General features: G+C 51.3%; 1 protein-coding gene across 1 annotated transcript in view, besides 3 other annotated features; it reads right to left on the reverse strand.

The window, feature by feature from the left end:
• The window catches only part of SLCO2A1 (solute carrier organic anion transporter family member 2A1), a 97,225-nt gene that overhangs the window by 2,426 nt on the left and 79,540 nt on the right, over window positions 1–15,259 (reverse strand). Inside the window, exons 7-13 of the mRNA NM_005630.3 lie at window positions 13,767–13,845; window positions 13,410–13,574; window positions 12,130–12,319; window positions 9,969–10,134; window positions 7,479–7,642; window positions 3,303–3,367; window positions 648–771 (exon numbers count right to left, since the gene is read on the reverse strand). Coding sequence (NP_005621.2) covers window positions 648–771; window positions 3,303–3,367; window positions 7,479–7,642; window positions 9,969–10,134; window positions 12,130–12,319; window positions 13,410–13,574; window positions 13,767–13,845 — 953 coding nt within the window. The remainder of the gene's footprint in view (window positions 1–647; window positions 772–3,302; window positions 3,368–7,478; window positions 7,643–9,968; window positions 10,135–12,129; window positions 12,320–13,409; window positions 13,575–13,766; window positions 13,846–15,259) is intronic.
• Window positions 7,451–8,039: an enhancer, noted in NCBI's record as "H3K4me1 hESC enhancer chr3:133661421-133662009 (GRCh37/hg19 assembly coordinates)". NCBI's record gives its function as "activates a minimal SCP1, AML or CMV promoter by ChIP-STARR-seq in naive H9 embryonic stem cells {active_cell/tissue: H9 hESC(naive)}" and the evidence as "EXISTENCE:reporter gene assay evidence [ECO:0000049][PMID:30033119]".
• Window positions 9,959–10,253: a silencer, noted in NCBI's record as "tiled region #14374; K562 Repressive non-DNase unmatched - State 21:Repr". NCBI's record gives its function as "represses a minimal TATA promoter and a strong SV40 promoter by Sharpr-MPRA in K562 cells {active_cell/tissue: K562}" and the evidence as "EXISTENCE:reporter gene assay evidence [ECO:0000049][PMID:27701403]".
• Window positions 13,995–14,963: an enhancer, noted in NCBI's record as "OCT4-NANOG-H3K4me1 hESC enhancer chr3:133667965-133668933 (GRCh37/hg19 assembly coordinates)". NCBI's record gives its function as "activates a minimal SCP1, AML or CMV promoter by ChIP-STARR-seq in naive H9 embryonic stem cells {active_cell/tissue: H9 hESC(naive)}" and the evidence as "EXISTENCE:reporter gene assay evidence [ECO:0000049][PMID:30033119]".

Consider the following 15,259-nt stretch of genomic DNA (forward strand, 5'->3'; position numbering starts at 1 on the left):
CTCCAAGCAGAGCCAGAAGGAGAGAGGCATCTTCTCACTGCCCTCTTGGCCTGTCCCTTTTGTGGTCTTCTCTGCCACTCCCATACCATTTCCAGCCCCTGCCCAGTCCCCTCAAGCCCACCTTCCTGTGGTTTCTGGGCCATATGACAACGGCAGCAGGTGAGGTGGCTGGAAGGGGTGCAGAACCCAATAGCACTGCAGCTGGACTTGGCCCATTGAGGCAGGTTGGTCCCCCTGCCCTGGACCTCTGCCAGGAGCCATGATGTGGCCCCCCTCTGTCTCTGAGCAGCAGGAGGCTGCCCCCAATTTTTCCACAGCCATGGCCTCTTCCTTGGGCTCCAGCCATCCCCGCCCCTTCTTTCTGCTGCTGCCCCTTCCAAAGGCTTTCGGGTCAGGGAAGTCCCTGGGTCTGCTGCCCCTTCCAAGGGCTTTCGGGTCATGGAAGTCCCTGGACATCTCCCTGTGAGCCCTGAAATGCCTGTTATAGTAGCCCCTGCTCCCTGTCCATGGCAGGGCCGCAGAGGTGGCCCTTCATGTTCTCTTCCTTGGAAGCCTGACAGCCCCCACAGTAGCCACTGGGCATATGACTACTGTCATCTCAAGCCCAGGGCCTGGCTCTGGGACACACATACATGATGGGCCCTCACCTGTCTCGGAGAGCATCGTTGTCATAGTAGGCGCAGGCCCCTCGCCTCCCCAAGCACAGCGAGTTCCACCGGATGCAGGAGTGGTCAATGGTGAGGCCATAGAGGGCTGGAGATGGCAGCCAGGCTGGAAGAGGGTTCAGAAAGCCCTGGTCAGGTGGAACTGCAGGCAGAGGTGTCCAGCAGGGGTGTGGGAGCCAAGTCCCCGACACAGTTCACATACATGAGAACGGCTCTGCCGTACCCATAGGACTCACAGTGACTCTGGAAAGCAGAATAGCTTTCAGTGAAGCCTGAATTTCTCTTTCACCAGAAGGCTTAGAAGACAAAAGGGACCTGGGCCATTCTTTCAAGTCAGAGTAAGTCACAGGGATCACCTTGATGCCGGCTCAGACATCCAACATAGTTCTCCTGAGATCAGCTCAGAGTGGAGATACACGGGCCTCCACTGTGTGGCAGGAGGCTCTCCAGGCATCGACTTCTCAGGTCCTCACACTGGCCCCGAGGTGTGGGTGCCCACTTTTTAGTGAAGAGGAAGGGGTTCTTGGCTGGGACACTGTAACACAGCCAAGAGAAGTCAAGGCCAGACTTGGAACCCTGGTTTATGGAGGTTCGAATCCCATGTACTTCCACCACACCAAGCTGCCCTATTGGATTAGACAACACCCCTCTGCAGACCTCCCAATACCTGGCTGCTCAAAGCTTCTGCTCTGGGACCCCGAACTTCCCAGCAGCTGAGTGTTAAGATTTGGCTTGGCAGGGGCTATGCCTTCCTGGCTGTCTAATATTCCGGATGCCACACTACCTGTGGGTAGCGTACCACTAGCTACAGCTCTAGGCAGTTACTGGACTGCGGAGGGCTTGTCCAGGATTTACACCAAGGCTGGCCCATCCCATTCTCAGCACCACAGTGCTGACAACAGCCTCCCAGACTTTGTTTAGGGCCCTGTGAGCAGCTGCTTCCAGAAGAAAGACAGACAATGCTCCACTTGTGGCACTGCCCACAAGTGGGAAACTCTAAGAAGAAGCCTCTCTACTCAGATCCTGCTCACTCTCAAGTCTCCAGGTGAACAGGGGGATGAAAACTGGCCAGAGTGATATATGACACTTCCTTATGTAGAAGCAAAGTCCGGAAACATTGTCAACCCAATCCCAATGTGTAATTTAAAACCTGTAATAGGAAGTCCTTTTTTTTACCCAAGAGTGGATTGTGTTCTTGGGTGATAAATGGAACCCCTCCAGGCCTGGGTTTTCTCATTGTGGTCCCACATTGAGTTATCTGAGCTCAAATGGAAAAGCAAAAGCAGCGAGTGCTTCAAGCAGTGCGAGAGAGTCCGAGAGAGTCCTTGTTTTCAAGGTCATTTTCAAGGTTGCTGGAGGAAGCAGGAAAGGGCTCTTTAGAGCCTATCCTAGGTGCTGGATGGGCTGAGAGGAATGTGAGGTCTCTTTCCCAGCAGAAGTGTTAGAGAAAGTTAAGTTATAAATGAAAATAAGGAGCTCTGATGACAGCAGAGCCTCTGCTGGGAGGACAGGTAGATCCTGCCGCCCTGCTTCCTCTGTGTTTATAATGCAGGCAGCAGGAGCAGGGTCTGAAGGGGCTCTGCAGGGACTAGAGGAACAAGAAATCCCACTGAAAAAGCTGGTTCATTCCCATCATCCAAACACTTCTCCCAGCCTGGGACTGGATTGGGCTCAGCAAGGGCTCCCGCTCACCTGGCCCCAGTAGAGACATCACCAATACATCTCAAAATGGGGATGGAAGCCACTGCAGGGCGCGGTGTTGACCTGGCCCCTGGGTAATGAGGCACAGTGGGCTATACATTATTTCAGGATTTATAGTCAGAAACGACACCTTATAGTAACTGAAGTTCCTCTTGCTGGAGTCTCCATATTCCCCTCTGTAGTTTGCACCCTTAATTAACACATCCTCAGTTCAATTAGGTCCCTTTACTACTGTGTGCCTGTCATTACAAGGATCTCTCTATTGCTGCCTTGTGTTAAGTCTAGTGCACAGATATGTCAAGAAGGAACAGCCAGTGTGAGCAGTTCAGGAATGGGCCTGCATTGTGCCCCCAGCCCTCAGCCCAGGCACCCCGGGAGAGCACTCCTGCTGCCTCAAGCAGCTCGCTCTCCCCTGGGGCACTGCTGATCACTTGTGCACAGCTCCATTCCTCTGGTGGGCTCTGGACTGCTTGAGGGCAGGCAGGACTCACCAGCAGAGGACCCCACAGGGAAGAAACTTTTGCTAAATAGTTTTAGGAGGAGTGAATTTTGTAAAATGGAAAGGAAGCCAGGGCTGGGCTCAGCCGCTGCTCTGGCTTGGCAGGAATGCAAAGTTTTGTTCCTACAGTGAGTTTTGTGAGAAGGATTTAAAAATACCTGCCTTTAACACTCTATTAGGTATTCTCAGCTGTGTTCACTTTTCATTTTTCTTACATAACTTAGTTAGGAATGAATGCCATAGATGGAGTCTTTCCTAACCTCAAGCAATCTGGGAAACCGTCCACATGGATTTTGGCATCTGCTGTTGATTATGCACAGCTTCTCTTCGCCATGGAGATGAGATGGTGCTTCCTCCATCGCTACCCTGCACCCATAGCCTTCAGATGCCCCATCGCCTGGGGCCACTTCTTGGGAAGAGGGGTCTTAGACACTTACCCAGCAAGCGCATCAACAAGAACTGCACCCCGATGGCAAATGACTTTTCCTCCTGGTTCACCACACTGAAAAGACAGACAGGAAATCAGCAGTGGGAGGATTCAGGGCTGCACGATCCCTTGGGTAAGGGGCAGCCAGCCTCAGAGCAGGTCAGAACCAGCCCTGATGTGGCCTGACGAGCCCTCTGGTGACCGGGTTCACCTGGGCTGAATGCTCTAGTTCTTTACATCAGTGGCCTCAAAGCGTGGTCCCTGGATCATCAGCATCCCCTGGGAACTTGTTAGATATGCAGATTTTCAGGCCCACCCCAGACTTACTGAGTCGGAAAGTCTGGGGATGGGGCCCAGCAATCTGTATTTTACCTCCAGGAGATTCTGATGCATCACTGAGAACCACCAGTCTGTGTGATTTTCAGGGCTGCCCAGAGCCCCCTTCAAGAAGCAGAGGGCAGTAGAGGCTAGGAGTGGAGAGAAGGATGCTGTGGGTGTGTTGATAGCAGCAGGTCTGAACAACTCCCACAGAATGTCTTATAACAGTAAAAGACAGCCCTGCTGCAAAGTGTAATTAGGGCCCTTGGGCTGCAGGCTTCTGTGCACAGCTAAAAGAATTCCCTACCCCAGGCTAGCTCTGTGGGTGTGTGCATACAACTCCACCCTCAGAAAGGTCCCATGTTTGGCTTAATGCTCTGCTGCAGCTGTCTGGAAATTCTTAATTTCTGAGCCAGGGGCTTTACATTTTCATTTGCAATAGGTCCTGCAAATTAGGTAGCTGGTCCTGCCCCTAACCATCTTCCTTCAAGAGAGGAAAATGTGTTTGGCTGAGGAAGGAGATTCAGAGAGAGCAGGGGACGGCCCTGCCATCCCAGCTGGGGAGTGGAGAGAGGGAGGACACCTCCACACAAGGTGGGGAGCCAGCAGCTGGCCAGCAGAGGCACCTGATGAGTGACTTGACTCCAGGACTCTCTGTGCTCTGAGCACACACACTCCCGGTGGGTGCTTGTCAGGAAGAGCCTTCAGTGCTAGGGGACAGTGAGGAAGGGAGCTCAGAAGTAATCCCCAGGCCTCTACCTGTGGTTTGTTTCACCACCACCATCACAGTTCTGCTAGCAAACTGGAAAGGGACCTTTGCCCAGTCCCCCTGAGGGATGGCCCAGTGAGACAAATACTCATTGGGGCAGGGGAAGAGGCACCCCTTGGGACCCCCACAATGCAAAGTGTCTCAAATCCTGTTGTGTCTACAGATCCCTCCAGTGGTCCAGTTCATAATAGATACCTGCCTTGTCTTGGCCCTTGCCCTGGGCAGACTCCCCTAGATTCTCAATGAAACGGGACTTGGCCACCCCAATTTGGCTTTTGATTGAGATCTTGGGCCCCTTCTAGTCTCTGTCCCATGTGGCCCTGAATGAAAGCTGACCTTCTGACCTCTCTTTCTCCTTCCACGTTTTCAGCTAGCCTTCACTTCCAGCTTGTGTTCCCATGGCTAATTGGGGGCCAGGACTCATATAAATAATGCTTGGGTCACCTACAAAGTCATCTTTTTTTTTTTTTTTTTTTTTCGGAGACAGAGTCTCATTCTGTCACCCAGGCTGGAGTGCAGTGGCTCAGTCTTGGCTCACTGCAACCTCCACTTCCCAGGTTCAACCAATTCTCCTGCCTCAGCCTCCCAAGTAGCTGGGACTACAGGCGCCCATCACCATGCCCGGCTAACTTTTGTAATTTTAGTAGAGACAAGGTTTCGCCATGTTGGCCAGGCTGGTCTTGAACGCCTGACCTCAGGTGGTCCACCCACCTTGGCCTCCCAAAGTGCTGGGATTACAGGTGTGAGCCACCACACCCGGCCTACAAAGTCATCTTTAAGCCTCTCCTTCTTCACACTAAATAGCATCAATTCTGTCATCTTTCCCAGTAGGATTTATCTTTAAATCGTTGTGGGATCCTGGGGCCTCCTCTCCACCCCCTACCCCAACTCGACCTAGAAAGGAGAGATTTTCTAGAGAAGCCCATCCTGTGGTTGAAATGATGCTCTGTTCTTCACGACCTCCTTGTACCTAGGGTTTGACAGGAGTCCTCTGGGAGGTGATTTGACAGGGATTGCCCTTCTTCCTGCTGCATAGCGACTTGCCAGGGAGATTTTCCTACTCTGTGCCCTCTCCTCATCATGGCCTCATGTAGTTTTATGTCAGGGCTGGAGGGTCCACTGTGGTCCATCTGACCCAAGGTGCAAGAAGGGAAGCCCGCTGAAGAGTCTCAGGTGAAGCTGTCAGTGCTTTGAATGCGCAGGATGGGGAGCGGTAGAGAAGGGGGTGACAGTGGTGTCAAAGGAGGCAACACGCCGTGGGTTCCAAGCATCCCTGCACCTTCTTGCTGAGTAAGCTCAGAATGCAAGGTCCTGACTACTGTTTTCCTGTGCCGTTTCTCCGGGTTGTAGTTGCAATGAGCAACTCTGAGGCATGAGTTAACGTTTCCTCCAAGACCAGGAGCAGCGGTGCTCACTGCTCACCATAGAAGTGGTGGCTCTTCTATGCTCAGTGTTCTTGCAAAGTGTACACCTGGGCCTCTCTGTGTCACCCCTGTAGGATTTGGGGGTCAAGGATAACTGACACACCCTAAGTTTTGTGCTGCTTTCTGTGCTGTAATAAAGTATTTTGTCTTTGACCCAGGAGTCTCACATCTTCTGCCAGCATCCTTGAAATAGTAGTTTGATTTGATAGCTTTCACACTAACTTGATAGCTCACTTATAAATAGGGTAAAATCCCAGATCCCAACAAGTGGCTGCATCTGCTCCTTCCTTTTCTCCTAGCCTTCTGGGGAAAATAGGTCACAGACACCTAGCTAGCTGTGAATTATTATTATTATTATTTGATTAATAGTGATAATTAACCAATATGTAGAACACCTTATATTTACAAAGCAATTTACCATATAATCCTGACACCAACCCTTTGAGTTCGATATCATCATCATCATTTCATGAATAAGGAGACTGAGGCTCAATGAGGTTAGGCAACACCCTAACACAGCCAGTATGTGGCAGAGCAGGGACTTTAATCCTGGCACCGGGAGTCCAAATCCTGTGTTTTTGCCCTCTCTGCTTGCGAGGTGAGTGAGGACAGGAGGGAGGGCAGTGGGGGTGGGTTAGGTGAATTTGGTACAAATGTTGTTTTCTCCTTGCAGCCAGTGAGGTGAAGAGCGGGTCATTCCCAGTGAAAACCTCAGAAGCATTCATTGCCAGCTGCCAGCTGTAACGGGACACCCCGCTCCTCCCCTCCAGCTCTGGCCAGCGGCTCCCTTCCTGACCTGGGAACTTGGTCCTGGAGCCAATCATACCAGGATTTTCTCATTTTCATCCTTTTCCATAGCCCTCACTCTGACTCTGAAACTTTCCACGTTTTCCTGCCTTGGTTTTATGCATCCAACTAAATTCTCTTTGCTCTTCTCATTTCTTTTAGGATTTAAAAATAAGCAAACCTACAGGCATTTCCATGGTGTGGAGCCAGGCAGCCTGGCTTCAACACATGGCTCAGCCATTCACTGGCTCTGCCATACTAGGCTAGTGATTTTTTTTTTAATTATTATTATTTTTGAGACGGAGTCTCACTCTGTCACCCAGGCTGGAGTGCAGTGGCACAATCTTGGCTCACTGCAACCTCCGCCTCCTGGGTTCAAGTGATTCTTCTGCCTCAGCCTCCCAAGAAGCTGGGATTACAGGCACTGGCCACCACGCCCAGCTAATTTTTGTATTTTTAGAAGAGACGGAGTTTTGCCATGTTGGCCAGGCTGGTCTTGAACTCCTGACCTCAGGTGATCTGCCCTCCTTGGCCTCCCAAAGTGCTGGGGTCACAGGCACGAGCCACCGCGCCCAGCCTAGGCTTGTGATTTAACCTCCAATGTGCAGAGTGGAGGCGCCAACAGGGCCTGTGTCACATGGACGCTGTGGGACTGAATGAGGCCCTGCAATGAGGAGCTCAGCACAGAGCCTCCCTGGGCAGGGCTCCCAGCACTGTTGCCATTAGTATTATTTCCCCTCAGCAAAAGAACCTTGCACATTGTCATTTAAAGGACTCTGAGGGCCACAAAAGGGGGGAGAGATGAGAAACAGGCAACTAGGCGCAAAGTCAAAGGGAGATGTGGGGAAGGAGAAGCCACGCCCCAGACTCACAGAGGTTTGCCACTCACCGCAGAACCATCATGTAGAGGGGGTTGTGGGAGATGCAGGCTATCAGGGACACGAAGGAGATGAGGAAGATGGCCGGGAGCAGGAAGTGGGCACAGGGGACAGGGCACGATCCTGTCTTTGCTGAAGCGGATCCCCCGGTCACACAGCTGCAGTTCAAATAGATCTTCAAGAGGAAGGGGAGGGAAAAAGGGGGAAATTTGTTATTATTTCACTTTCACACACTTCAGACGTCTGCACCAGCTCTTGTTGGAGACTGAGGTTTCAACCCTTGTGTCCTCTGGGTCTGGTTCCCAGGGAAGCTGGGTGAGCCTGGGGCCAGGTGAGGGTTTCAAGCTGCCCCAGGGGTCCCACCTCTGTCACTGTTTGGGCAACAGAAACCATCTTCTGGGCTGGGCTGGGCTCCTCCAGAAGTCATATCTGCCTCTGGATGCCCAGGAACACTGCCAGGTTAGGCCCCCAACCCCCAGCTTGGAGCCAGGGGCCCAGGAGGGCTTGTGCCCAGCAGTGGTGGTTTTGCAGATTGTTGTTTTTGCTGTTTGTGTGTTTATTGCAGAGGGAGGCATAAACAGTAGGAGGGCAGTGGGAACACAGTGGAATTCCCTGGGTTCTGATTCTGTCAGGCCTTTGCTGGAGTTCCCTGCCTGAAAGGAACTCCTGCCTAGAAGGGACTCCAGAGAAGGAGGCCCCTGTCTCAAGTCTGCAAGTCCATATGGCTCAATACTGTTGTCCAACTCACTTTGGTGGCCACTGCCCTTGTCTGGTGGTCTTCACCTTCCTTCGCTGCCCTTGTCAGATGGCCCAGCCTGTGACAATTTCAGTGTCCAAGCAGTTACAAGACTAATATTGGAACTAAGGGACTAGTATGTTTCCTTCTGCCGACAGTGGTAACTATGCACCCTCTTCACTTGGCCCCTAGGAAACTCCAAAGTTAGTTATATAAAATATTGCTGTTACTTTCCTCAGTCTGGATTTTTTAGAGATTTTTTTTCTTTATAATTTACTGATTTTTTTTCTTGATATTTTGCTAATGGGTTTTTGTCTTGAGGTATGTATGCTGTTACGGGAAACTTGCCAAGATTATTTCTGGAAGTAGGTGACTCAGAGGTAAGTTAACAAAGATAAGAAAACCACAGAAGCCACCACAACTGGAAGGCAACTTAAAGAGCATCTTGTCCAAGTTCCTTGTCCTTCCTCTGCCTGGGAGCCACGCTCCTTCGCCCGCAGAGGTGGCAGTGGCAGCAGCCTTGCCCTGTCCTTTCAGAGGAGGTTGGTAAGTAGGCACTAGGCTTGCCCATCCCCTCCATATGGGCTTAAGGGAATAAGGCATGTTCCTAGCTTACACTAACTGCACAGTCTTCTCATTGCTCAGCAGTTCCTAAGCCTGGCCTGCCTGGCTCTGGCTCCTGCCTGCTCCCTGGCCAGCTGGGTGTGACACTCCTCCTACAGCACCAAGCCCGGCCTTTTCTCTTCTTTCCTACAGCATGCCCAGTACATTCATGCCCTTGGGACTTGTACTTGCTGCTCCCTTTATCTGGAATGCATTGCTCCTGGTGTGCATAGAATTCTGTTCTTCTGGTTGTTCACTTCTAATGTCACCCTCTCCCGGAGGCCCCTGGGAACTCTCCATCCTATTAAGTCCTTCCATGGCATGGGTTACTTTCTAGAATTATCCTGTGTGTTGATTTGATAGAATGCACCCTCCATGAGAACAGGGACCTTGTCTGATGGGTTCACCATCACATCCTCAGCACTCACGGCTGTGCCCAGTGTTCTGTTTATTGAATAACTAAACAAATGACTCAAGTCAGTTTGCTGCTGGCTGATCCTAGGAGGTGTGGAGCCACAGAAAAAAGGACTGTACTTTGCCAAGTGAGTCTAGTGAATGGAGGTTGCCCAAGTGGAAAGCTGGTGGCCAGAAGATACATGGCTTTGAATAGAAGTGCCCCAGACTGAGGCAGAGCCCTGGGTTCAAGTGCCAGGTCAGCCCGAAATAGCTGCATGATTTCAGGCCAGCCATGTGGCCACACCTGGGAGCTGAGGGGTTGAACCAAGTGCCCTCAGCTACTGCTTCTGGCTCTACCCTTCCAGGTCCATGTCACAGAAGCCTAATGCCCTCGATTTATCTGGGCCACGGCCAGCCTGCAGGACCCAGAGATGCCCATGAGGATCTCTCAGGATGGGGCTCAAAGGCCTCAGCTGAAGGAGTGCTTTGACTGGTTTCTGCTCTGAGCAGTTAGGCCTCAAGAATGTGAATTTGTTGGACATCGGCCAGTCTTTAATTGACTGTGGGCTGTCAGCATCTGGTCATGACCCCAGGGTAGGGAGGTAGAGAGAGGTTGGATGTGGCTCAGAGGAGGCCAGGATGCTGGTAATGAGTGTGTGTGTGGAGCCCTGCCTATCCTGGAGCCGAGAAACAGTCTTTGAGGGCATGCGCTGAGCTCCGAGATCCTGTGGGGCTCCTCTTGCCTCTGGACCCTGGCTGCCCTTACCAGTTGCTTGGAGGTTGCAGAGCTCATGTTGATGTTGCTGCAGCCGGCATGGCAAGGGGAGAGGTACTCGATTCCATTGTCTCCACAGACCGGGTGGAAGATAGAATCTGGGCACGAGCAGTCCCTGCGGCAGGCAGGAGACTGCGGATGTATAGAACTTGATGTGCTGCCAGCAAAAGAGGAAACGGGGAATCAAACAAAGCAAGACCAAAGAAAAACCCTACACTCCAGCCCAGTGTGAGTTCCTGGCCTGGTGAGTGTGTCTGTGCATCTTTATTTCTTTTGGGCCAGTGCCACCCTGGGATCTGAATTATGCCTGGTGGAGCCAACAGTGAATTTGCCACTGTTTAGTGGTCACGGCATCTCTCCATTTCTTCTGCCACTGGGAGCCCAAATCCACTAATTATGCTCTGGGAAGGCCTGGCTGGTGAATCCCTTGCCACAGTAGGCGTCAAGACAACCAACCACCCAGAAAGGGCAGCTGCAATGGGCAGGTCACAGACAATATTCGCCTTCCCTCTTCTTCAGCCGAAAAACAGTGGCTGGGACCGCTGAGGCAATCCAGGATTTAGTTTGCTGTCTGTCTCCTGGCTTAATGTAGACCTTGCCCAGAGTTACTCCATCCCCTTGAGCTTCAACCAGAGGGATTTCACTGGTTGATCTCACTGTTCCCACTGTTCCCCGGTATCTGATATTCATGACCTTCTTCGGGGAGGGTTGGGAAAGGGGCTGACAAACCACTGTCCAGATATTTCACTAGTATAATTATACGAATGAGAGTTCATCTCGTGCCAGGCACTGTGCCCGGGGGCTTTACATGCACAATCATCACAACGAGTCTACAGTGAATTATTTGCCTGTTGTGGATTAGAAAACCAAAGCTTAGATAAGGTAAGCAACTTCCCCCAACTAGTAAGGAACACTGGTATACAGTCCAGGCCTGTCTGAGGACAAAGCCATGTGCTAAACTCCCAGTGGACGCTGCCAAAAGGCCCAAAGGCTTCTCGGCTTTCCTCAATCCACAGTCAGCCTGCAGAAGTGCCGTACAGACTAGGGGTGAGCTCCCTACCCCGAGCAACCCTCCCTTCCCCCAAACCCCTTCTCTCCTTCACCCACCAAAGACAGAGGAGGTCATTTCAAAGAAAAAAAAAAAAAAACAGAGAAAATACCAGGGCTGAAAGGTACAGCATCTCCAAATGTTGCAACTTCATTAGGCAAAGTCTTAAAAAAAAGCTTGTTGACAGGTGGCACCCAGGAAAAATAAAATAAAATGCCCCTTGGTTGGCATCCTTCCCCTCACAGGGCTCTGAAGCTCTTCCTGAACATAAAGCCAAAGTTAACACTGTGACCCATATTGCTGTCTGCAAACCAACAGGCAGACTTTACCTGACCTTCTCCTCACCTGCCCTAATTTTTCAAGTCTGCCATCACTCTCATTATTCTTCTCCAGATCTTTTCAAGTCTCCTTTCATCTCTCTTCAGCAGCTCAATGAAACTGAAATTCTAGCCAGCACAGAGCTGATGCTAAACATAGCTTATTTCCTGGTTCCTGTGGCTCACAGCCCTACAAATTCATCCTGAAATCAAACAAATTAGTTTTTGGTGCTTCTTAAGAAAACAGAACTCTAACCCTGATTGCTGGTGGCCCAGTAAGAGCCTTTGATCTCTTCTTATAATGGAGCAGACCATTCAAGACCTGATTTTCTAAGTTGCCACGTGAGAGATCAGATCAAAAGTGGGCCGGGCGGGGTGGCTCACACCTGTAATTTCAGCATTTTGGGAGGCTGTGGCAGGCAGATCACTTGAGGTCAGGAGTTTATGACCAGCCTGGCCAAAATGGTGAAACCCCGCCTCAACTAAAAATACAAAAATTAGCCGGGTGTGGTGGTACACACCTGTAATCCCAGCTACTCGAGAGGCTGAGGCATGAGAATTGCTTGAACCTGGGAGAATCACTTGAACCTGGGAGGTGGAGTTTGCAGTGAGCCAAGATCACGCCACTGCACTACAGCCTGGGTGACGGAGCGAGACTCTGTCTCAAAAAAAAAAAAAAGTGTACAGCAAAGAATAGAGTTAAGGAAGCAGGAAGGAAGATGTATAACAGCCAGATCTAAGCCCTGGCCTTATTAAAGGGGATCTCTCTACCCCTTATTCCCATTACCTAGGGGGGTAGACTTCGGCCACAGTTGGGGTGGAGCATCCCATGAAGAACAAAGGAACACAAAGGATCATGGAGATGGTGATGATGGTGGTAGCTATGCGGGGAATGGCTTGTAGAGAGAAAACAAAGCGCTTCATGAGGATTCCTCCAAACAGCATCCCCAAGGCTGCAGCAGGGAGGTTCACAGCACCTATAAGTGGAAAGAAGGAGGTGATCCAGGTGCACAGGCCTGGGACTGCATGTGGGCTACAAACACTGAGCTGGATCACTGAGAAGGAAGCATGGCTTCAGGAAGGAACATTTGGTATGTTAAATTGTAATCGAAGTAGCTGACATTAATTGAGCATTTACTGCTTGCCAGGCACATCTAGAGAAATATCTTGAGACAGGATTGCCTTGCCTACACAAAAAATACAGAAGTGGGGTTCTTGCAGCTTAAGAGATGTGGGTTGAATATGCATTTATTAAGCACATTTCATTCCTTGGGGCCTCTTTGCATGGGACCGCATGGGGTTAGCAACACAAGAGTGATGACCCCTATGTACCAGTCAGAGATGGAAGGCCAGAGGGGTAAAGCCACAGCCAAGGACCAGCCAGGGGGTGCACGGGAGTCACCCTCCAATCTCATGCACTGATCACCTTGCCAACTCCATATGGTTAAACTCACCTGTGGGTTGGGTTGGGCCCAGTGATTTCCTAGGGTACTTGGTGGGACCACATCTGTAGTTCTCAACACAGTTGAAAAAATACTACTGCTGGGTGCCACCTCCAGAGATTCTGGTTTCGTTAACCTGGGATAGGGCTGGGCATCTGTGTTTTGTAAAGCTCTCCAGAGGAGCCTCTGGTGCAGCCTGGGTTGAGAATCTCTGGACCATATATTGTCTAACCAAAGCAAATATACTCAGGTCCCTAGGGAAGAAGAGAAAATCCCGGAGGCATTTTGTCTAACCTCAAATTCAACCTTCCCTCTTTCCTGTGTTGTTCCTGATGATGTCAGGGCCTTTGGGAAGCTGTCAGACTTCCAGCCCCTTTACAGGGAGGAAGGCAGCCCCCAGCCTCCACCCACTCCTGACTGGAAGGACAGGAGTCAGAAATCTGCCAAGAACTTTCTAGATTGCCAACCAGGAAAACTGTCCTTAAAATTCTTTCTCCTGGGCAGTCCTCCTCCGGACCCTGCCTATGTCCGGTCTGGCCTGCGCCCATCCCTGGATGGGTGGCTGGAGTGCCTGCCTCCTGGCCCAGGCAAGCCCTGCGGATCCTGCAGCACCCTCTGGGCTCACCAATGAGGAAGTTGGCATAGGCTGCTGAGGTGCCATACTGCTTCTCCAGGAACTTGTTGAGGAAGGTGGAGAGGCCAGCAATGACGGAGGAGAAGGTGCACTGGGCCAGGACCACCAGGACGAAGAGTGAGTTCATCAGGAGCCTCAGAAAGATGCATGGAAACCCTGTGAACAGACCGCTGTCAAGGCTCTGGCAGAACCCCTGGGCTGCAGGCACACCTAGGGGATGGGCCAGTTACAGGCCCTCTGCTCCTACTGTCCCTTACCGCACACAACACCACAGGGGCTGGGGTCCCCCTGGCCACTATCCCCTCCCCCGCACTGTGCCAGCCCACCCAGGGCTGTAGGGTCAGTTACGTTTAATGAAATCCACCAGGGAGCCTCTTGACTTGGCCTCCTCCAACTTCCTTGCTTCATCTGCTGTGGCAGGAGCCCTCTGAAGGCAATAAAAGGGGTGAGTGTTCACGGCCCAGGCTCACTGTAGCCACCCTTCCCTGAGCCCTTGAGTCTCTGGCCTCAGAAGCTCAGGGCTGGGTGGAGGTGAGCCCCCTCCAGGCGTGTGTGCATGGGAGGGCATCCAGAGAATGCTCTCCTGAAGCAAACAGCACCTGCATTTCCGTGAGCCTGGTGTTTTGGCCGACAATCAGAACACATCTATGCCAATGCCTCCCACGATACCTGTGGGCATATCATTTCATATCTAACTTTCCTATGACTGTTGCCAAAGGTGTCTTCCTGGACCCCACCCCTCACCCCCATCTGTCATGGCTACGCTTCTCCCCTACCCTCAGATTCCAGGGGATACTGGCTTCTGGGACACTCTGGTCTAGAATGCCATCTGTTTCCAGCCCCACCGTCCTCCCCCTTTCTATCTCCTCTCTGGGATTCTTGCTTCCTCCTGAGCCTAAAGGTGAGTGCTGCTCAAGGCTCTGTCCTAAACCTTTACCTGCACTTTCTTGGGTATACTACCCCAGGGAACCTTCCTACCTCTTCTGACCTTGTCAGCTCCAGCCTAAGGCCCTGCAGCTCTGAACTACCTTTCAGATGCAAGGCCCCTGGGCTCTGACAGCATTAGGATCCTGCTGGGAACTCATCTCCAGGAATAGGCTCTCCCATTCACTGAGTGCTTACTCCCTGCTGGACCTGTGCCCAGTATTCATATGCTTTGTCTCATTCCTCACAACGCTTTCCCATACTGCTACTCTAATTAGCTGGAGCACTGTAAAGAAGAGGAAGCTTAGGAACAAAGAAACTTGGCGAAGCTCACTCAGCTAGTTCATTGTTTTTTATTTTTTATTTTTATTTTTTTAGAGACAGGGTCTCACTCTGTCACCCAAGCTGGTGTGCAGTGGTGCAGTCATAGCTCACTGCAGCCTCGAACTCCTGGGCTCAAGTGATTCTCCCACCTCAGCCTCCCAAGTAGGTGGGACTACATGCACTCAACACCATGCTGAGCTAAGTTTTTAAAATAATTTTTTTTTTAGAGATGGGGTCTCGCTATGTTGCCCAGGGTGGTCTTGAACTTCATTCCTTCCCTACCCACCAATCTCAACCTGGGCTCAAGCAATCCTCCTGCCTTGGCCTCCTAAAGTGTGAGATTATACACCTGGCCAACTCAGCTGGTTTATAAGTAGCAGAGCTTCATTCAAACCCAGGTCTGCCTGACCCCAGCACCTGCATGATGTGTAGCCAACGTCTGAAATTCTTCCCCAAGACAAGCTGAGGTCCTCCCACCCCTGCCCCTCTCCCCCCGGCTGGGCCTAGATTTTATATACCTCATTGTCAAACATTGAGCTCTATTTTGGGACTTGAAGCCTAGGCATAAACTTTAGCTCCTTCTTCTCCTCCAA

Source organism: Homo sapiens, chromosome 3, assembly GCF_000001405.40.
Source record: "Homo sapiens chromosome 3, GRCh38.p14 Primary Assembly".
NCBI classification, from domain to species: Eukaryota; Metazoa; Chordata; class Mammalia; order Primates; family Hominidae; genus Homo; species Homo sapiens.